Below are 23,248 nucleotides of genomic sequence, written 5' to 3' on the forward strand. Positions count from 1 at the left end.
GGCTGGTTGTGCTTGGCAGTATAATCCTCTCAAACATTATTGAACTTTTGTCCATTTTATTTGTCTAAGTGTTGGAAATGTGCCAAGAGAAACACCCACAATTATTTTCATGACAAGGCTCTGTCTAAAGTCATCAGGCTTTCTTGGGTGAGCCAAACTCTTAGTCATTTTGCTTTGAGCTATTTTCCTCAACTGACACATTTACTAGGATCACGTTGATCCATTTAGTGTTTTTAATAAAGGGCATTATGAACACACCTTGAATTGAATTTTGTTTGTAGATTGAAATTTAATCAGCCTTTGTTGCTCAGAGTATTTTTAAATGAATCTTTAACTGATTAGGTATGCAGAGTTGTATCTTTCAATATTGCAAGATTATCTCTAATAAATTGCATTTTCCAATTATTCAATGCTAAAGTATGAAAATACAGCAAACTTTTATATTGTCTGGTATCCATAAACTTTGATATACTGTCTTTCAATTATAATTATCACCTTTAGAGTCTACATACAAAGGTATATTGTTTTTATTATTGAATATATTATTTTGTTTAATACTTACAACTCTGTATTTTTTATTTACTTTTTTGTCTTATTTTACTGGCCAGGACACTCAGTACAATGATGAATGAAAATCATGTAGTCTTCATTTATTCAATATGTTACAGACAAAACTATCAATGTGTCAACATTAGATATGAGACTGGCAATAGGTTTTCACATAAACATTTTATAAAGAAAGTTTCTCTCCACTCCTAGTTAAAACAAAAAAAAATTTGATTGCCCAATATAAACCCAACTTTCTCATTTATATATTATGCTTTTAAACATAGTATGATGAGAGTTTTTAAAAATATTTTGTGTAAAATATTTGCATTTCTGTTTTAAAGAAAAGGAGCCTATGATGTTTACTTCTTGAAAAGTCATTGTCAGGATATTGTACCAAGGTTTTGCTGCTCTCATTAATGAGTTTAAAAGCTGTCCCTCTTTTTCTACTCTATGAAAGTCTTTAAGTTTGATACATTTTTTTCCTTAAATATTCAGTGCAATTCACTGGAAATGTCTTGAAATTTTTGAATTTGAAGATCTCACATTATGGTTTCATTCTGTAACAGTTTTTAAATCAAGATTTTCCCAACTCTTTTTATTTCTGTTTTGGTTAAGTTCTATATTTAAATAAATGTGCATATTTTATCTAAATTTCCGAATTTATTAACCTATACTTGTTCATACAATTCTCTTTATAAATGAATAATATTTGGTGATGTCTCCTTTTATGCTCTTGATGTTAATTTAAAAATGTTTTCTTTTCTCTCTTTTTCCAGATCTAGTGATCTGGAGGCTTATTAAGTTTTAGTGCCTTTTTTTGAACCAAACTTTGCCTTATTTAATGTTTACTAGTTTGTGTTGTCTATTTCATTAATTTAATTCATTAATAATTTTCTCAATTTATTCACTTACTTCCACTAATTTATTCTCTTACCTTTATTATTTTTCTTCTTTTGTTTTCTTTGATTATATTTTGCTGTTAATTTAGATTACTGATCTTCAGGTTTTCCTCTTTTCAAATATTTCTATTTTAGCTATATATTTCTAAAAGAAAGGAGTCAGAGAAAAAAGAGCTGTCAAAAATTAAGAGTGATGAACTACGTAATAATGCTAAAGAGGTCAAGTAAAATAGTAAGAACTATTCAATGCACTTGATATTAAAAATTAAATTGCTGTGTATTCAGAAATATTTTAATGAGATAACTGATAATTCTATTATTGCTTCATCCATGATTAAATTCATGCCTTTTCTAGCAATCAAGCCTTGGCCCTAGATGGAAAATTCCATAAGGTTATCAGTGGCCTCATTCAAAGCAAACCCTTGTCTCGTTAATGTTTGTTATCACCATATTTCTACTTTGTTTGCACCAAATTGTTTCTTCATAGAATTTTGTGGTATAGAAAAGTAAATCAATATAATTTTCTGAGCATGTTGGGAATATTCTCAATAAAGCAACTCTAAATATATTCAGACTTTTTAAGTAAAAAATTTTATTTCTATGAATTAAAAATTCAGAATTATCTGTAATAGTTTATGCATGGGAATATTTATTCACTATGTTAAATCAAATTTCTAAACATATTAGAGCTTAAAAGGCAATAATGTCATATTAACAATTAAAATCTAGATGAATATTCAGGTGATATGTAAAAATTGTATAATGACCTATTGCTATGATCTGAATGTGTCCGCTAAAATTCATATGTTGAAATTTGATTGCCAATGTAATGGCAAATAAGTGAGGCCTTTAGGAGGTAGTTAAATCATGAGGAAAGTGTAATCATAGACGGAATTAAGGATCTTATTTAAAAATGTGAGGAAGTGGGTTTGCTCTCTTTTGCTCTTCTGCCATGCAGTGACAGAATGTTCATCCACTTTTGCCCTTTCCAGCCCTTTCAAACTGTATTTCTTACAGTTTCATATTAAGGGGGAAAAATCTTCATTTTCTTATGTCTTGCACATGTTCACAAGACATGTATAAACATATTTATCCCTTCCTTGTTGATAATAAAAGTGAGAAAGCAAGAAAAAAACACCAAAATTCTCACAAATAGAACAAAAAAATGCTAAAACTTACTAAAATATTTTACAGCTGCAAAAGAATTTTATGCAAACATTTAACAAGTATTTATTGATGTGCTATTGTGTGCTAGGTATTCTAAGTGCTGAGGACAATTAACAAAACATACACAATTTCTGGATTCTTATAATCTGTTATAGTAAGGGAATATACACTATATGAATAAAATAATTGATCTGTTTATTTTTAAATGATACACAATGTAGAGAAACAAAAAAGAATGAAAAGAAGTACAGACTATTCTTACAATCTATGTTATAGTAAGGGAATATAGACTATATGAAAAAAAGAATAATCTATCTTTTTTTTCTTAATGACACACAATGTAGAGAAACAGTAAAGAATGAAAGAGGTACAGAGTCGTGGGGCAGAGGTAGTGGAGGTGGCTAAATTAGAGTCCCGTATTAAACCTTCACTTCAATATTGGATCACAGAAACAAATTACATAAAGTTAAATAGTCTAATAATATTTATATAAAATTTTTAGCTTGCAATATTACACATATTTACAGAACATCTATGCAAAGGAAACAGAAATATATTGTAAAAATTTGAAAGCATTTATCAGGTTAGTAAGCACTGGATTCATGAGAGTGATTACATCTCAGAATAGCAAACTATAGGACTGGGTTTAGTCAAGGAAGGCTTCAATTCTGGGGTGTTTAACCTCTCCTCAAACAATATTTAAAGAAATGACATAATTATTAGACACTGCTGAGTGAAAGATATTAATATATGAGTGCTTATTACATTGTCCTCTTTTGTTTCAATATTTTGGTTTTATTTTGTTATAAAATCTTTATTACCGCCATGATCTAACTAACTGAACTAACCAATCAAGCTTATTTTGTAATATAAACTTCAAAAGAACTAAATTTATGTATTCAGGTTTCTGGATAGGAGTGTGATTAGAAGTTTCTACTTGTTATTATACATTTTAAAGTTTATACAAAAATGTGATTCATTATTTCATTTGCAATCTCAAATTGATTGAACTAATGAGCTTCGAGGGGAGGTAGAGGGAGAACAGACAGTCCCATATGAACAAATCAGAACATTATAACCATAGTAGCACTAAACACTTGTATAATGCATACCATGTATGGTGTACTCTTTTCATTTTACTTTTGTAAACCAGTTTAAGTGCCACTATAGCCTGTGAGGTAAATGCTACTCATGTCCCAATTTTACAGGTGAGGTCATCTAGGTAGTAAATGGCAGAGCTATATATGTAAAGCACTTACTAAAATCCTTGGGAAACATTAATTGCTAAAGAAATGGTCATATTTATTATTGATATTGTCATTGCTGCTGGTACCCAGGTCATGTTTTCTTATCACGGATCTTTTGGTGTTGAGGCCCATTAAGGAAAACAAAGAATAGTCAGGCTTGACAGAATTGTAAAGGAAATATCTTTTTTCTTCACCATAAATTCCTGATAGCTCATAAAATATGTAATTTCATTTGTTTTGATACGTGAAAAGAAAAAAACGTGATCTTCTCTTGATTCTCACTAGTACCTTTCCATATGTCTCAGCTCCTGAACTACTACAGCCCAGCTCTTTTCCAATCCATTTTCCACATTGCCATCAAGTAGCTTTCTATCCCGTAAATTTCATTAAGAGTCCTCTTTTTAAAGCCTTGCAATTGCCTACTGGATAAATGTCAAGCACTTTTTCACAGCACACAAAGGTCTCCATGAATTTATCTCAGACTTTCTCTTCAACTTTATTGTTCATGGATACCCTTTGAAAACTTCTACATCTGACTTATCAAAGTCAGAAGTACATTGCTCAAATTTGTAATGCTATTTCATAACTTCCTGCCTTGGCAAATTTTGTTCTCTCTGCCTGGAAGTTATAAACGCGTCTTTCTAAACTTAGTTCAAGAGTCTCCCCTGGAAAATCTCAAAAATAGTTAATTAACTTTCTCCATTGTCACATGCTATATTTTGCATAGAAAAATATTTAGCACTTACAATACTTTTTACTCAAAATTATCGCCTATCTAAAACAATAATTCATAGTCTCCATGTTATGAGAAACTATCACTATCTTTAGGAAAGAGAAAATTTATTCCCACAGGTTTAAAAAATGAAATATTTACTTTTCAAGTAAAAGAATGTCAACTTCTGCCTATATTAGGAGAAACAAAAGAGAACGTTGCAAATAAAAAAAAAATTATTGCTTCATTGGCTCAACACCAGCTATGCACTGGTGATACAAAGATAAATAAGGAAGTCCCTTCCAATATTACACAATACGTAGAATGGCATTGAATTGTAATTGCATGTAACTCATGAAAACGCATGCTGTTTTTTAGGACCTAACATCCATGTAAATTATGACTCCACTATATCTTCAAACAACAATGAAACATTAGGCAGCATGCACTTTCAGTCAAGTTAACTGTATATTATACTCCAAGACACTACCATACATGTAACAGTAATGGATAAATTATAAAAAGTTAAAAATTATAAAGATATCAGGTAGTCAAAAAACAAAAGAAGTGCAAGACAAGGGTGGGAACTGAGCTCATTATTTCAAGCCATGCAATTCCTTAAATTATTTCTTATGAAATGAAGCCAGATAAAATTGCCATGTTCTGCTGCTACTGAAAATTATATGAAGATGCAAAGTTTTCTAGTATCACTGTTGGACAGGAAATCAGAATTGCTAATCTAAGATTTCATTCTGCACTAGAATTCCTAAACAATTGAGTGCAGTCAACCAAAAAGCTAAAAGATATGCACAGTTTACAGAAAGTGAAAAGTCCTACTCCACTGAGCCTGAAATTAAAAATTCCAAAATAAATAATCAAATCTAACAATGAGAATAATGATCCAAAACACTAACACTTGAAAGCTGCTTTCACACCAGATAAAATGAAAACAACCAAAGTGTTTTAAAAGATAAAAACAGGAGCAAGTATGTTCAGTCTGTAGAAAGCTAAATAAAAGAATCATTAAAGAATCAACTCCAAAAGTGAAAAAGGGCAATTAAAAATGATATAAAAAGTGAATAGAGAGAATATCTAAAAAATCAACACATTATCTCTAGAAGAAAAACATTCAATAGAAGAGATGTGAACAAAATCAAATAATTAATAGAAGACAATGAGGAATTTTCTTGGTGTGCAGTAATGAGAGACAAGTAAATTTTTAAAATATAAAGGAGCAGCTAAGAGACATAAAGAATAAATTGAGAGTCTTCAACTCTAACAGGAATCCAAGAAGCGTGGCCGAATGGTAGGAAATCATTTAAAGAAACAAAAGCTCAGTGAAATACTTGAGTCTTGACAGAAAACTTACATTCATCAGAAATTAAAGATAATCAATTATAAATGTAGATAGAGAAGAAAGTCAGATCGCTGAAAAGAAATTAGAGACAATTAGACTTTCAATATACTTATCAGCAATAAAAAATACTGGAAGACAAAAGTATGATGTTCTTAATGTGCCAAAGAAAAATAACTTTCCACTGAAATTTCTATTTTTGGCCACACTAACATTCAAGAAGACTGATAAAGATATTTTCAGGTATTAAAAAATGAGAAAATTCATAGTCCCCAAATTCACACTGAAAGGCTTATTAAAATATATGCTTGGCCGGGCACGGTGCTTCATGCCTTTAATCCCTGCACTTTGGGAGGCCAAGGCGGGCAGATCACGAGGTCGGGAAATCGAGACCATCCTGGCTAACACAGTGAAGCCTCATCTCTACTAAAAATACAGAAAATCAGCAAGGCATGATGGCACGCACTTGTAGTCCCACCTACTCAGGAAGCTGATGCAGGAGAATCGCTTGAACCCAGGAGGCGGAGGTTGCAGTGAGCCGAGATCATGCCACTGCACTCTAGCCTGGGTGACAGAGCAAGACTCCGTCTCAAAAAAAAAAAAAAAAAAAAAAAATATATATATATATATATATGTATATATATATATACTTATACAAGAAGAAAACAGCCAAGATAGATAGGAGTAGTCATATGAATATTATGATGTAAAATGGCAAATTGAATTAGTTATTGATTTATGAATCATAGCATAGCTAATTGGAAACTAAAAAATATAAATGATAAAACTAAGATTGTAATTAGTACTACTGGGAGGGGAATGGTTCAGAGTTAAAGGGCTGACGTTTCTTGTCTTTTAAAGATGGGAGAGAATAATGTTGCAAGATTTTAAGTTGTGTTAAAGAACTTAGTTATATATGTATGTTCCACACTTAAAGCTAAGTATTGTAATAGACAAATACTCTATCACTTCTAAAACAACAGAAGCATGAGAAAGAGAGTAAGAATACATATTCTGTCCAAACAAATTTATAAAACAAAAGAAAGTGAGGAATTTAAAAAATAGAACTGGGAAATAAAAAACACAACATAAGTATGTGTGTGTTTGTGTGCATACACACACAACAAATATAAACAAGTGGTATTTATCAATTTATTTAAGAAAATTAAAATAAAACTTCAGACCTAATCTGAATCAAGACAAATGATAAATCTACCTAATCAAGACATATGGTAAATCTACATCTCACTGAAAAAACTGAAAAATAAAAATATTCAGCAAAAAATCCAGAAAAATAATTTTTAAAAGAGTCTATGTAATAACATATAACATAGATCAATTTAGAAAACTGACATATTAACTTTAAAATGAGGGCAAATTTAAATTTAATATAAAAATCAGAGAAGTGAATAGACACAGCACATAACAATAAAAAGCATAATTCAAACATTGTAGTGGGCTCACTGGTGCTCACAGGTAGCTGGTGATCCTGTCTTTCTGGACATTGAAGTTTGTACTTCTCCCCTCTGCAGTGAGTCACTCCTCTGTGATTAATTCTAATCAATGAAATGTGAGCATGAGAGATGTGTGATCCTTCTGAGCAGAGGCAGTCGAAAGCCCATGCATGGTTCTTTAGTCTGGCTCTTTGCCTGCTCTCATAGCTTAAAAAAAAATGAGTCTGGTGTGGTGGCTCATGACTGTAATGCCAGCAATTTAGGAGCCGAAGGCAGGAGGATTACTTGAACCCAGGGGTTCCAGACCAGCCTAGGTAACAGTGAGACTCTGTCTCAACAAAAAATACAAAAATGAGCCAGGTATGGTGGCATGCACCTGTTGTCCCAGCTACTCAGGAGGCTGAGTTGGGAGGACTGCTTTAGCCTGGGAGTTACAGGCTGCAGTGAGCAGTAATCACACCACTGCACTCCAGCCCAGGTGAAAGAGCAAGATCCTGTCTCAAAAAAAAAAGATAATGTTTACCCAAAATCTTCAAAAGTGAAGACAATAGAAGCATTGCATTGCAATAGACGTGGAATGCAGCTAAATAATTTTTGGTGAAAATTGTAAAATTGCAAATGTGTTTATTAATAAAACAAGACACCCTGAAAAATTATTAAGTAGTCAACACAAGAAGCTTGGAAAAAGAACAAGAGTAAATCTAAACTTAAAAATGAAAGAAAAATATTTAAAGCAAATAGTATAAATTAATTTAAAAGAACAACAAGAAAATTAAAAAAAAATTAAAACCTGATTTTAAACCTTTGGTAAAATAAAGAAAAAAAGAGTTATGATACAAATAAGTTACATTACAAACAGAAAAGAAAAAATGTACACATAGTACATATAGAAAGGGGAAAAATTAAGAAAATTTCAAGTAGCAGGGAATTTTAAGTGCTCTCTCCTTTCTTGCTGGACTTGCTCTAGCACTAAACGGCAGAAATAAATAGAAGAGTGATAAAGGGATATTTTATTAGTTCCTTGTGTGAAATGTGTCTAGGAGTATGCAGTATGACTATTGCAATCAGTGTAGCCCTGATTGTTCAGTGTGGATAAGTTCATTCTCATATATGAGTGCATAAAACTGTGATGTTTATATACTTATGCGTAAACATTTCTCTCTTGATTATTTGTCTATATATTTGAGAGAATTTTTTATTTTACTTTTTTTATTTTTCTGTATTTTTTTGAGGATGCATTTTAATTTTATAACACATAAAATAAAATCAAATGGTACATACAAAGAATTTTTATTGAAAATATTTGTATAGGGCCCAGCACGGTGGCTTATGCCTGTAATCCCAGCACTTTGGAAGGCCAAGGCAGATACATCACAAGGTCAAGAGATCGAGACCATCCTGGCCAACATGGTGAAACCCCATCTCTACTAAAAATACAAAAATTAGCCCAGTGTGGTGGCACGTACCTGTAGTCCCAGCTACTCAGGAGGCTGAGGCAGGAGAATTGCTTGAGCCCGGGAGGCAGAGCTTGCAGTGAGCCAACATTGTACCACTGCACTCCAGCCTGGCGACAGAGTGAGACTCCGTCTCAAAACAAACAAACAAAAAAATTGAATACTGCCTCCTACATATCTCATAATATTTAAAGCATGGCCAGATACAAAATACATGGTTTACATAAGTGAAAGTTGATTTCGTTCTAAGATGTATCACAGTTACATTGAATTAAAGATTGAGGGGACACGTGGAGAATCCCTTCTGTCAAAAATTGTATTATGTTAATGTTAGTATGCTAAGAGATGAGTAGTAAAAGTAGAGTCTAAGCTTTAAAACATTCATTTTCAAAGCTAAATTGGCGCTAAATTCAAAACAGTTTAATATATCATATCTTTCTGCTAACATATGAAAAAACACGCTACTCTGTGGGCAAGCTAGCACTATATAAAGCTTTTCCTCTGTAGTGTTCTACAAGCACTCTAGTAAACAATAAGCTTAAGAAAGTTCCAGCTTCATGGTAGATGAGTACTATGCAAGCCCCATAATATGCTATAAACTGAATTCTCATCAGAATTTAAGTAGTTTAACAGCTAGGCTAGATATTTAAGGCACAACATGATGCAATGACAAGTTTCTAGCTTTAGTTATTTATCTGTAACAAGACTGATAACGAGATGATTCAGCCAAGCAAAAGACAATGTAGAAAAAAATGGAACAAAAGAAGGTCAGGATTTCAAAATATCAGATATATATACTTATGAATGAACCAATATACTCACATTCAAGTACATAATGTAGAGGAAAAAAAGGTAGCTATCTAAACATGGGGAGAGTAAACCATGATGACAAAGATGCATAATATCTTTTAATCAATATATAAAATGTTACAGTTGTAAATGTCTTAGTTATTTTCAACTAAATTTAACAAACATTTATTAATAAGGCATTATCTGCCAGGCATTGTGAAAGGTACTGGAGACACAGATATGGAATTAGACTGAGGGGAGCAGAAAGCTCCTAGTCAAGTAAGGAACATAGGTAAGTGAACAAATAAAATCTGAGGGCATGATAATATCGCAGCTGAAATATGTGCACAGAATTATGCAGAATAAAAACAGATTTACTTTACCTAGGACTCAGGAAGACTTCCTAAATAGATAGTATCTGATCTGTGTTCTGAAGACAGAGGGAAAAGTTTTTGCAAAGACACAGGCAGGTTACAAAGCATGGCGGGGTTAGTGACCTCAGGCAGAGAGGCATTCCACCTGGTAGGTCACAATTGTTCAAGACTCTGTATTAATGTTTTGACCATAACCTTGGGTAAGTTATCACCTTATCTGAGCTTTGATCATCTTACCTGTTAAGAGAGGATTGCCATGCTTTTAGGATAGTTTTAAGGTTTAGAAATCATGCATGTAAAAGCACATCATAAAACAATAATAAATTAATAACCATAATTAAGTGATTAATATTTTAAAAACTAAAATTAACACTTTTTAAATTTAATCATATATAATTCCAGTTACAACCCTGTGATTCATATTATTATCCCCATTACAGAGGTGTAAACTGAGTGTGACTGTAGTGTGATTTGCATATAAAACTCTTGAAATTTCTTTGCTCTTAAAAGAAAATCCCAACCCATAATCCAGCCTGCAAAGCCCTCCATGAACTGCTCTGCCTATCTTCCCAGCCCCTCTCATTTTTGACACTTCAGCCTTACCTGTGAGTGGCCTTTACACATGAGCTTCTCAGTGTACCAAAGCTCTTTCATGTCAGATCATCTCACCTACTGTTTCCTCTGCTTGGAATGGTTGCCTCCTCCTCTTCGCTTAGCTAGTCACTTTTACTCTTAATTCCAACTTCATACACACTTTCCTTCTCCTTGCAGACCACAACAGATTTATCTATTAAAATAATCTGGGATAAGGTTGGGCGTGGTGGTTCACGCCTGTAATCCCAGCACTTTGGGAGGCCGAGGCAGGTGGATCACCTGAGGTTGCGAGTTTGAGACCAGCCTGACCAATATGGAGAAATCCCGTCTCTACTACAAATACAAAAATTAGCTGAGTATGGTGGCACATGCCTGTAATCCCAGCTACTTCGGAGGCTAAGGCAGGAGAATCACTTGAATCTAGGAGATGGAGGTTGCAGTGAGCCAAGGTCAGGCCACTGCACTCCAGCCTGGACAACAAGATCAAGACTCCATCTCAAAAAAAAAAAAAAAAAAAGAAAACAGTTTGGGTAATTAATTGTCAAACATTAGCACGATCAGAATCACCTCTGCCATAATTCGATTGGGGTGGAAAATTTTAATCCTATTTTTCACTGTATCTGCAGCATCTAGCACTGTCCTTTGTTCATAGTAGAAGCTCAACAAATATTTGTTAAATAAATGAATAAATGTTTGGAAAGAACACAGCCAGGTCTAACTCCAAAAGCTGCACTCTTAAACCACAAATAATTGATTGCCCGATGCTAGTACTTGGAAGTTATTATTACTGCAATGTTTAAAATTTGCTTATTGGAAATTTAAAATACTTTCTAGAATATCTGATAGATGAAGTTTTTATTGGCAAAAGCGGACAAGAGAAGGAAAAAATGGAGAGAAATAAAGAGAGATCAAGCAATAGAAAAGGTACCTTCATTTAAATCTGATGACAGCAGAAATGATCATTTAAAACAGTGCTACCTAGCAGCAGTTGAGGCTTTCAGAAACAGAGATGAGGAAAAATATGGTTCAGCAATAAATAAGCAAAAGTTAGAAACATTGGCATGTAGAAGCAGGGCAAGAGGCCTCTAAGATAATCAGGGTTCCACAATAAAGACAAATCAATAACAAGAGATACCTGTAATATTTAGTATGTGGAGTGGGAGAAAAAGAAGAGGTGGCAGAAATAAGCAACTCAGAGTTTCTTGAGGGAGAGGATATATTATTAGAAAATGAAACTACATCAGGATCTTTTTCAATAAATTAAGTTACAGAGCCTTCTCCGTGCCCATTTATCTCTCTGTACCTAAAGCTATAAATATACAAAAAGTTTGATATTATATCTTAGCCATTCAGAAAATGAACATGGATGTGTGTGTGTGTAAATGTGTGTGTGTGTATACCTGAATTTTTGAAGCACATGTTAAATTATACTATTATATGTTGAATAGGTCAAGAAGCCTGAGGCACGTATTACATATTTTAGAAAAATTTATATTTAAAATTCAAATAAAAACACGCTCAGAAATTTCAATTGGTATTCAAAAGCTCTTGTCATGTATGTGTAAAACGCAGCTCAGCCTACTGTTGAGAGAGGTGATTGTTAATGTTAAGTATCAACTTGAGTGAGACATGGTCTGCCAAGATAATTGGTTAAATGTTCTTGTTGCTGTGTTTGTAAAGGTGTTTCTGGATGAGATTAACATTTGAATAAGTAGACTGAGTAAAGTCAATTACCCTCCCCAGTGTGGGTGGACCTCATTCAATCCATTGGAAGCCTAAATGGAACAAAAGCCATGGTACAGGGGAATTCTCTCTCTGCCTGATTGGTTTTGAAGTGGGGCATGTCTTCTACACTTGGACTGGAATTATACCATCAACTCTCGTGGGTCTCTAGCTTGCAGACAGCAGATTGTGGGACTTCTCTGCCTTCATGACTGTGTGAGCCAAATCCTAAAATAAATAAAATAAATCTCTTTGTCTAGCTAGCTAGCTAATCCTATTAGCTCTGTTTCTCTGGAGAACCCTGGCAAATAGAGGAGACTCATACTTAATAGCTGTGGCTTTCCTGAATTCCAGGTGATCTAGAGAGGGCAAAACCACTCTGTCCTAAGGATATCTAGGGATGCTTGAACTTCCAATGCTTACCAACAACTTGGGCCAAGTGAATAAACTTATACTCAAGGTAATGCAAGATACATTCATCCCATTTTTGAAGTCCTCTCCAATTCGGTCTCCAGATCCTTGTTTCCATTACAGCCAGCATCCTCTAATAAGTTGTGCTATTTTATCAGAAATGGTAGACAAGCATTGTTTTGATTTTCCCCTCATTATCTATAGAGGCCTTGTCCAGTGATCTTTCAAATGTTACAAAATTTTTAATGTAATAATCTGTAGATGAAGCATTTGCAAATGTTTGCGTTATTAGAGTACTCTCCTGCAAGACAAGGGAAGAGAAAGATAGGTCAACCTGGCTAACCATAGACATCTACCTGTCATTCTGGTGAGAAAATTCACCTTACATTCAAATCCAAACTCAAATCCAAATCCAAAGGTCTTTTGTGTAATCCTGGATTTGATATACTGATATTTCGTTATAGATTTCTGTCCCTATGTTTTTGAGGAATATTGGTCTTCAGTATTCTTTTCTCATAATGAAACTACCTTTGCAAAAAATATAACTGAGGAAATTATAACAGTGAAAGAGATCAGACCTAACCGACTCCATCTTTCTTCTAACCTTTAAGCTGTCCTTGTTCTTTCCTAGCCATAGGCCAAATTAACCTAGGGAAGGAATTTAGTTTATAGTTTGACTCTGAAATAAAATTGATAATAGCGCTTTCCCGAAAAGACCCCCTTCTTGCCTTGGGACCAGTCTGCCTTCTTAAAACTAACAAATTAGCTACAAGATTAGAAATTATGGTTTAGGAATCATGCAGCCTCTGGCTGCAAGAGTCTGAACCTCCCCAAATTGCTCCTGGGGATAACATCACTATTGTAAAACCTAAGATCAGTGCTTGAGATATTTTGCAGACCCTGCACTCAGTTGATCAGCTGACATCACTCAGACCAGTAATCCGACTCAACCGTTCTATGATCCCACCCAGAAAGGGAAGACAGCAAGAAAACCTCACTTCAACCCCACTATGATTCTGTCTCCAATCTGACCAATCAGAACTCCCCACTTCCCAAACCCCTGCTCACCAAATTATCTTTAAAAATTCCAATCCCCAAATGTTCGGGGAGACTGATTTGTGTGGTAATAAAACTCTGGTCTCCTGCACAGCTGGCTCTATGTGAATTATTCTTTCTCTATTGCAATTCCCTGTCTCGATAATTGGCTCTGTCTAGGCAGTGGGCAAGGTGAACCCATTGGGTGGTTACAACAATGTTTTTATCTAGTTTTGGTAATTAGGTAAACCTGGCCTTATACAATGAGTTAGAAAGATTCTAATTATCTTCAGTTTATTTAACTCTTTTAAAGAATTCATCAGTGAGACTATCCATGAACGGAGTTTCCTTTGTTCAGTTTTAAACTCAAATTCAGTTTCTTTAATCAGTGTAACACTATTCATTGTATGTTTCTTCTTAAGTGAATTTTAATAGTTTGTGTCTTTTCAAGGAATTGATTTAGTTTAAGCTTTTGAAATTATTGGTATAAAGTTGTTTATAATATTTTCTTATCAATTTGAATGACTGTAATGATTCTTTGTCTTCATTCCTAATAAAATCTCTATTTATATGGCTATTTCTGTCAATCTGGCTACAGATTTACCAATTTTATTAATCTTTTTAAAGATGTGGTCAGGCACAGTGGTTCACGCCTGATATCCCAGCACTTTGGGAGGTTGAGGCAGGTGGATCACCTGAGGTCAGGAGTTCGAGACCAGCCTGGCCAACATGGTGAAACCCCGTCTCCACTAAAAATACAAAAATTAGCTGGGTGTGGTGGCACACACCTGTAATCCCAGCTACTCAAGAGGCTAAGGCAGGAGTATCACTTGAACCTAGGAGATGGAGGTTGCAGTGAGCCAAGATCATGCCACTGCACTCCAGCCTAGGTGACACAGCGAGACTCCATCTCAAAAAAAAAAAAAAAAGATTTTCTTGCTTCTGCTTATTTCAACTTTCATTTGCTTTTCTTATTCCAATATCTTAAGATAAAAGTTAGATCATCAATTTGAGTCCTTTCTTCTTTTCTACTAGAAGTATTTTTTGCTATAAATTTTCCCCAAATCACTGCTTTAACAGAATAGTATACATTTGTATATTGTATTTTCACTTGTTTCAGTTAAAAAATGTGTAATTTCCCTTGTGATATTCTAACAAAGGAGAAAGTTTGTTGACTATTTCCTAAATATAGACAGTTTTCAAGATTTTTTTGTTACTGATTTCCAGTTTAATTTTATCATTGTTCAGGCTCATACTTTGTATAATTTTCATTATTTTAAAATTACTAAGGATTTTTGTAGCTCATTAAATGGTTTAGTTGGAAGTTGAATGTGTATCTGAAAGGAAAGTATATTCTGCTCTTGTTGGGTGGAGCGTCATTTAAATATCAGCTATGCCACCAGTCAGTCCCATGAACCAGACCTGTTCTCACTTCAAAGCTACAAGAGAATAAAGGGAAACAAAAGAAAATTCACTTCTATTTGGGTTACTGCTGAAGATGTTAATACTTCTCCATTTTCGGTCAACTTTTATTTCCCTTCAGAGTTCTTAGGCAGTTATTTTTCTTTTGCTGGTATCGCAACATTCTTTTAAACTGGGAAAAAAAATTGAATGAAAGAAAACTAATAGCAGTTTAACAATATTTTGTGAATACTAGTTACAAATCAAGCCCTAATGCAGATTACCTCATTTACTCCACAGAAAAAATGTGCAGTTATTCATTTTTATTTATCCCCATTTTACAGATAATGTGGCTTTTAAACAATTAAATAACTTGACCAAACTCCTTCAGTTAACAATAAAAAGAATTCAGGATTGAGCATAGGTTGCTGTCCAGCAGTGTGTCTATATTCTTATTGTTAAAGCAAACTGAAATCTGGCCTGAGAAATCCTCTGTATTTCCATGCATGAGTCCCTATAGACAAGCCATAACACATCTTAGTAGATAGGCAGACTGAAACCCTAATGAAGGAGTATGCTTCGGTAACAGCAACTTAGTATCAGCCAACCCTAGCAGACATACTTCAACCATTCATAGGTAGCCGACTGTTTAAACCATTTTCAAATAAGGCAAATGCCAAACTGTAACCAATCCAGCAGTTTCTTTACCTCACGTCTGTTTTCTATACATTATTATCCTTTTTCTGTCCATAAATTTGCTTCAACTATGCAACATCCATGGAGTCTCTCTCAATCTGCTGTGATTCTGAGGACTGCCCAATTCACAAATTATTTCCTTTTTCTTGTTCAATTAAACTTTGTTGCATTTGATTTCTCTAAACTTTTTCTTCGAACAGATCTGGTGTCACAAGTGGGATCTGAGGCAAAATTCCAGCAACCTCTAGGAATACTAGGTGACCAGAAGAGGTGCCCACAGCACTAGTTGTGCTCACTGCTCCCTCGATTGTAACTGGAGGTCATAGATGAGATTTCTCTAGGATTCTGAACTTCGTTAATTTGTGATCTGAGCGCTGAATTTATCTGAGCAATATTTAGACTGAACTGGGTACAGAATCAAATTACACTTGATAATTAACTGGATGGGATTTAGTTTGAAGCCTTAGGTAGATGCTCTTATTTTTGATAGTGAATTTGTCTCAATCCAATGAGTCTGGGACCCCAACTTCTGGGACTCCAGCTAATTTTATATATACAAATTATGGGCCCAGAATGTGTGCATCATTAGGAAAATGGGTTAATCTTATTAGAGAAAACTTAGAATCAAGATAGCCACAATGGAGAACTTTTAATTTGGATAAAATTATTTATTTTGAGGCATATTAAGGAAAGGAGATCAAAAACCCCCACAAAAACTTTGCAATGTGTTCTTTCATTGGTATGCAGAGGCTTCTAAGAGACTAAATGAATCAAAATGTTCTCCTTCAAAAATTCTTTGCAAAAAGCAAATGAACTAACCCCAACTGTTCCTTCTCTTTATCCATCTCTGCCTGCATACTCTGACACCACTAACCTTTTTGCTAAATTACCTTTTCACTCGGAAGATGATGAAAAAAGACAAATTAGAGACCTAACAAAGTAAGGCCTTCTGATCAGCCAGGCCTGTCTGCTGCAACCACTCTCACTCCATGGTCTAAAACTGAGCTTAGAGCCATTGGAAAGTACTTCCCTGATCCAAGAGGAACTTCTCAAAAATTTACTGAGAAATTTAGGATCCTCATAGAAGGTTATAATCCAGGACTCCCTGACCTTTATCAATTTAGTCACTTGATATTGAAGCCTGATAAAGCTTGCAAATGGATTATAGCAGCAAAATGGGACAAACCTGAGGACGATGTTAAAGACCCATCCAAAACCTTTTTATGAGAAGGAACAAAAAGCGTTAGAAAAAATGCTGAAAACTTCTTAAATTCAATTTCTAAATTTTCCACAAAAAGTTGATCAGTACATCATGAAAACAAAAACAGGATGAGGGACCAGTTTCAGATTACAAATTCTGTAGAAACACTGTTAGAAACACTTGTTTGTGAAACATTCTGGGCTCAAAGTTCAGCAAGGAGTATTTCCTGCAGGAACGGAAATGGTATTAACTGGTCTATTTATAAGTAGATTCCATTTTGAACTTAATAATTTAATTAAAAACCATAAACTGGGATGGGAAGTTATAGATATGACTAAATTAGTGACCTTAACTGAACATTTTGAGAGGACTCTAGAGCCAGGAAAAAAAAACCCAAAAGGTTAACAAACTTAAATCTCTTTAATTACAACAGTTACAGGGGCCGGGACCAAACAGACCTTCCCATTCTCCTTTTAAATCACAACCAAGAGGTCCTAGAACAAGAAATTCTTTACTCTAAGATGTCTGCTTTATTTGCAAACAGCTAGGACAGCGGAAAAGAGATTGTCCCCCTTTAGTAACCGTCCACCCATAAGCCTCTCTTTAGGCCAAACTGTTTTGCCACTAGAGGGAGCCAAAGAGACCTTTGTTCTGATGATAACATTGATGCGGCTCCAAGGGATTCTGTGATAAATTGCTCCCCATTACACCCTTAAATAAACATGGAGAAACAGAGGTTAAAATAAATGGGGAGTCATGTAAAGTCATGATGGATACTAGAGCTATTCTATCTACAATAAATCCCACTTTAATAAGCCAACAAATTCCTTGGGGTAGAAAGGTAGATTCCAATATCTGAACTTGGGGCTCTTTTCAGAAAAACACTCCTTTTCACTATGTGAAACCACTCCAGTAAATTTGCTAGGGCAAGACTTACTTTCAAAGCTAAAAGGCACATAAAATTTTTCTCAGAGGGAGAAAAAAATCTTAGAGTTTCCTGAGTCTCCTGAACCAGAATTGTTATGCTGTCTACAGGCAGAAATTGATAAGAACAAAACTTAGGCTTGCAATACCCCTGATCATTCAAAAATACCTGAATCTTCATGGGCCTTTTCTTCAATTGATGTAGGAAGAATTAAAGTGTGGAACCTATAAAAGTCCAAATAGACCATTCTACACTTTTGCTTAAATTTTCACAATATCCACTAAATCCTGAAGCAATTTCAGGGCTCTCACCAATTATAGAAGATTTAATTAAACAAGGACTTATAATTTCATGCACCAGCCCTTGTAACACTCGAATCCTACCAGTTAAAAAGCCAAATGGATGAGGTTGGAGATTTGCTCAGAATTTACGGACAAGCAGTAAAATTGTAATACCAAGTTTTTCTGTAGTCCAAAATCCTAATACTCTATCATTTAATGTACCCACTGATTCCAAGTGGCTCACGGCAATAGATCTCTGCTTAGTCTTCTTTAGACTGCTCGTTCATAAAGAGCATCAACACTTGTTTGCCTACTAGAAAACATCAGCTGTACCCCTGGACTATAGTGCCACTGGGGTTTACCAAAGCCCCTTCCTATTTTTCGTAGGCATTGCATCAGGACTTAATTATACTACAGTTTCCTCAAAATCCTACTCTCATTCAGGAGGTAGGTGATTTCTTGTTATACTCCCCCACTAAAGAGCAGAGTGCTCTGAAATTGACTGTTTGCCTTTCATAGCAACTCTCACATAAAAGTCACAAGGCTTTTATGGAAAAACTTCAGTTTTCAGAGAAAGATCCCACTATTTGGGACATGACTTGACTGCTAAAGGGATTTCCCTCTCACCTAAGAGGGTAAAAACTATTCAGTTTTCATCAACCTGCAACCAAAAGACAATTGAGAGGTTTTCTTGGACTTGCAGGATGTTACAGATTCTGAGTTCCAAATTTTTTCTTAATGGTCTCGTCATTGTATGAGTCCACTAAAAATGCTGTACCAGAGACTTTATCTTGGGAAGACAGTCATGAGCAGTCTTTCAGCCAACTGAAATTGACTTTACAACCGCCTTCAGCTTTAGAAATTCCAAATTACACTAAACCTGTTACCTTGCTCATTCATGAACATAACTGTCAGGCATTAGGAGTTCTTAGTGAAGAATATGGGGGAAAACATAGGCCAATTGCATATTATATCCCAGAATTAGACCCAGTGGCTAAGGCATATCCTAGTTGTTTAAAAGCAGTAGCAGCAGCAGCCAAGCTGTAAAAGCTTCATCTGATCTGGTTTTAGGAAATGAACATAATTTGCAAATCCTACATGTTGTGGCAAGTCTACTAAATTCCAACAAAGCCCAGCATTTTTCAGTAAGTAGACTAACGTCTTATAAAATACTTCTCCAGTTTCCTAATCTTTGTCTAAAATGCTCAGTACACTTAACCCTCCTACTCTATTACCTCTGCCTAACAATGATGAAGACCACAATTGTGTAACAGTAGTGTCAGAAATAATTACCTCTCATGTTGACTTATGAGATGCTCCACTGGGTAATATTGAATTAAAATTAAAATATTGGCATGTGTTCTATGCCAAAAACTCAGAAGGAAAATATCAGGCAGGGTGTGTTGTTGCCACTTATAATAAATGAATAGGGAATGGAATTCTTCCTCAATTTAAGTCAACTCAAGCTGCAGAGCGTTTTGCCCTCACCCAAGCTTGTCATGTAAGTAAATACAAGTGAGTAAATCTTTATATGGATGGCAGATATGCTTTTGGAGTAATTCACAATTTAGACATAATATGAAAACTATGAGAGTTTCTCACTTTTAGCAGGACTCCCATCACAAATGGACTCCAAGTAGATAAACTCATTTTTGCTATCTTGTTACCATAATAGATCACTGTTACTAACATTGAAGCTGATACCTATAGATCTGAACCTATTTTGGTTCAGGGAATAATTTATCACATTTTTATGCTAAATCTGCTACTGCTTAAAACTGTTTGGATATGCAATCTAAATAAACTCCATAAGATTAATCCAAGCCAACTCCCTTGCGGTGACCTATTTAATAAGCAGTGCAATGTACCTGATTTGAAGAAACAAAATTTGTATCTTAAAAAATGTAAATTTAATGTTAAATGCAGGCTCACAGAGGGCCCAGACAGCCTCCTGGTTCTTCCTGAGTTTTTGAAGCTTCCGTTCTTAAAAGTTCTGCATTCCACAACTTATCACTAAACAGACAAAATAATCTAAATTATGAAATAAGTACAGTTGAGGTGATTGTTCCAAAATTGCTAAAATGGTCTATAACAATGTTTGGCTTGTCAAACTCATAATCCTGGAAAAATAATTAAAATTTTAGGTGGTGTATTTCCACTACCTGATGGAACAAAGCACATTTACCGATGGACTTCATTCAGCTGCCACCCTTAGTGAGATATCAGTAAGTTCTTGTAATCATTTGCATGTTTTCTGATTGAGTAGAGGTCTTCCTGGGTAGGAAAGCTGATGCTATGACAGTAGCTAAGAAATTATTAGAAAATACGTTTCCTTTATGGAGCGTCCCTGGAAAAATCTCCAGTGATAGGGAAACTTATTTTACTGGGTAAGTTATAAATCAGTTAAATAAGGTGTTAGTCACTGTCAGTTTTCTGGAAAGGGTTGAAATAAAAAAAAATGCATATTAAAACTGAAATTGGCAAAGTTAATGGAATCAATTGGGTTGCCTTGGTCAAAGTAATACCTTTGGCTTTAATGGCAATCATATCCACTCTCACTGGAAAACATGAATTACCCCTTAGGAAATAGACACTGGAAGATGTATACCCCTAATAATAGAACTTCATGCATGTCCTGCTCCCCTAAACTCTGCTATGCCTAAATACCGTAAGGCTTTAATGCATTATGCCAAAGTGTACTTTCACCAGATAAAGAAGGTTTTTGAGATCCACCAACTGAGGGCAATCAAACCTTCCACAGTCTAGAACCTGGAGAATGGGTCTTCTGGAAATGCCATCACAGGAAGGCTGCTCTTGAACCTTGTTGGAAGGGGCCATACCAAGTTCTTCTCACAACCCACACTGCAGTGAAGCTTCAGGACCTTAAACGTTGGATCCACATCTCACACCTCAAAAGCGCCCCTTCAGACTCCTGGAACTGTACGCCTGCTGGAGATTTTAAGGTAAAGCTGACCAGGGAAATCTCTCCATACAAGCAGACAGAATCCAAGTCATGAGCTTCTTTCTCAAGATCACAGATCAAAACTTCGCTGCAAACATGAAAACTTTATGTGCTTTTTTTTTTTTTTCCTATTTCTTACTTTCTGTTGCTCTAATTCTTTCCTTTTCCTGCAGGAAAATCCATGGGACCATACGCAATGGATGGCTTTAGCTCAAGATTATGCTCTAATACAAAACCATTAATTGTTGGGTTAGTTAGTTAATGCCAAAAAATCAAGAAACAATTACACTGATGCCAATGCCTCTCAACATTTGCAATGACAATCACCTTGAAACTCCAAGGGAAGAATAAAAAGCTATCCTTGATATTCTAAACATTGTTGCTACTTGCTTTCCTGCATTCACTAAAAATAGCACTCTTATTTTTTAATAAATAATATAGAAAACAAATCCAAATGATGCCTGCAAAAGGTATGTTATGCTTCCTGGCATTACACACTCAAGATTTGGGAATCATCTATGCGGTTACAATTATTTGCTTGGATTAAATCCAGTTGGGTCTCTTTTTACTAAATGTGGAGATATATATATATATATATATAAAATATATATATACACACACACACACACACACACACGCACACTAAATGTGGAGATATATATCTACACATTTATATATATATATATACACACACATATATATATATATGGTCTCCACATTTATGTGTGTGTGTATATATATTACATATATAGATTCCTCTATATATACACACACATAAATGTGGAGACATACATGTATAGAGGAATATATATGTATATATAGAGGAATATATAAATGTATGTGTGTGTGTGTGTATATATATATATATATCCACATTTAGTGTGCATATACATATGCCCTTACACCCTAACACTTACAGGGTGCCATAGAAAAGCGAATTTCCTACTGGCCCTTGTTCAAGAACTATGCAGATTTATGGGCAAACAAATCTAACTGACCCCTGCTCAAATGCAACTAGGTGACCCTCTTTTCCAGTCTCCGAGGGCCTATATTGGATCTGCAGAAAATCTGCATATTTCATTTTTTACTTCCTCTTTGGTTTGGATCTTACTATTTGACTTGGCCTGCTTTTGAATAGCTTTCCCTGAAAATTCTCATAACAGCAAGTCTTATGATCAGAGGCCAAAGTGGTCAATAACCAAAATTATCAGTAGCATGGAAATAGACAAAGATAAGCTAGTTTCCACTGAGGAAAGATTCTAGGGAGGTTTCTGGGGGCTCGCTCTTAGAGTAGTGGGGTACCAGTTGTATGAAATTTAAAGCTAATCCATAAATTGGGAAAAATTGGATTTTCAGTATATTAGTCTGTTCTCATGATGCTAATAAGGACACACCTGTGACTGGGTAATTTATAAAGGAAAGAGGTTTAAAGGGCTCTCAGTTCCACATAGCTGGGGAGGCCTCACAACTGTGGTGGAAGGCAAATGAGGAGCAAAGTCACATCTTAAATGGCAGCAGGCAAGAGTGCATGTGCAGGGAAACTTCTCTTTATAAAGCCATCACATTTTATAGTGAGACTTATTCACTGTCACAAGAACGGTTAATAGTGAATGGTAAGGCTTATTCACTGTCACGAGAACAGCATGGGAAAAGCCCGTGATTCAATTACCTCTCACTGGTCCCTCCCATGACACATGGGAATTATGGGAGCTACAATTCAAGATGAGATTTGGGTGGGGACACAGCCAAACCATATCATTCAGCCACTCAAACCTCCCATAGTTTCAGGTGGGTAGAAGCCATTTTCTGAAAGATATAAAGTAACATATGTGTTCAACATGCAGGGAAACTTCTCTTTATAAAGCCATCACATTTTATAGTGAGACTTATTCACTGTCACAAGAACGGTTAATAGTGAATGGTAAGGCTTATTCACTGTCACGAGAACAGCATGGGAAAAGCCCGTGATTCAATTACCTCTCACTGGTCCCTCCCATGACACATGGGAATTATGGGAGCTA

At 34.9% G+C, this 23,248-nt stretch overlaps 1 annotated feature.

Annotated features, from left to right (window-relative positions):
• Window positions 11,978-12,575: an enhancer, noted in NCBI's record as "OCT4-NANOG hESC enhancer chr12:18306612-18307209 (GRCh37/hg19 assembly coordinates)". NCBI's record gives its function as "activates a minimal SCP1, AML or CMV promoter by ChIP-STARR-seq in naive H9 embryonic stem cells {active_cell/tissue: H9 hESC(naive)}" and the evidence as "EXISTENCE:reporter gene assay evidence [ECO:0000049][PMID:30033119]".

Source organism: Homo sapiens, chromosome 12 (genome assembly GCF_000001405.40).
Source record: "Homo sapiens chromosome 12, GRCh38.p14 Primary Assembly".
Lineage (NCBI taxonomy): Eukaryota > Metazoa > Chordata > Mammalia > Primates > Hominidae > Homo > Homo sapiens.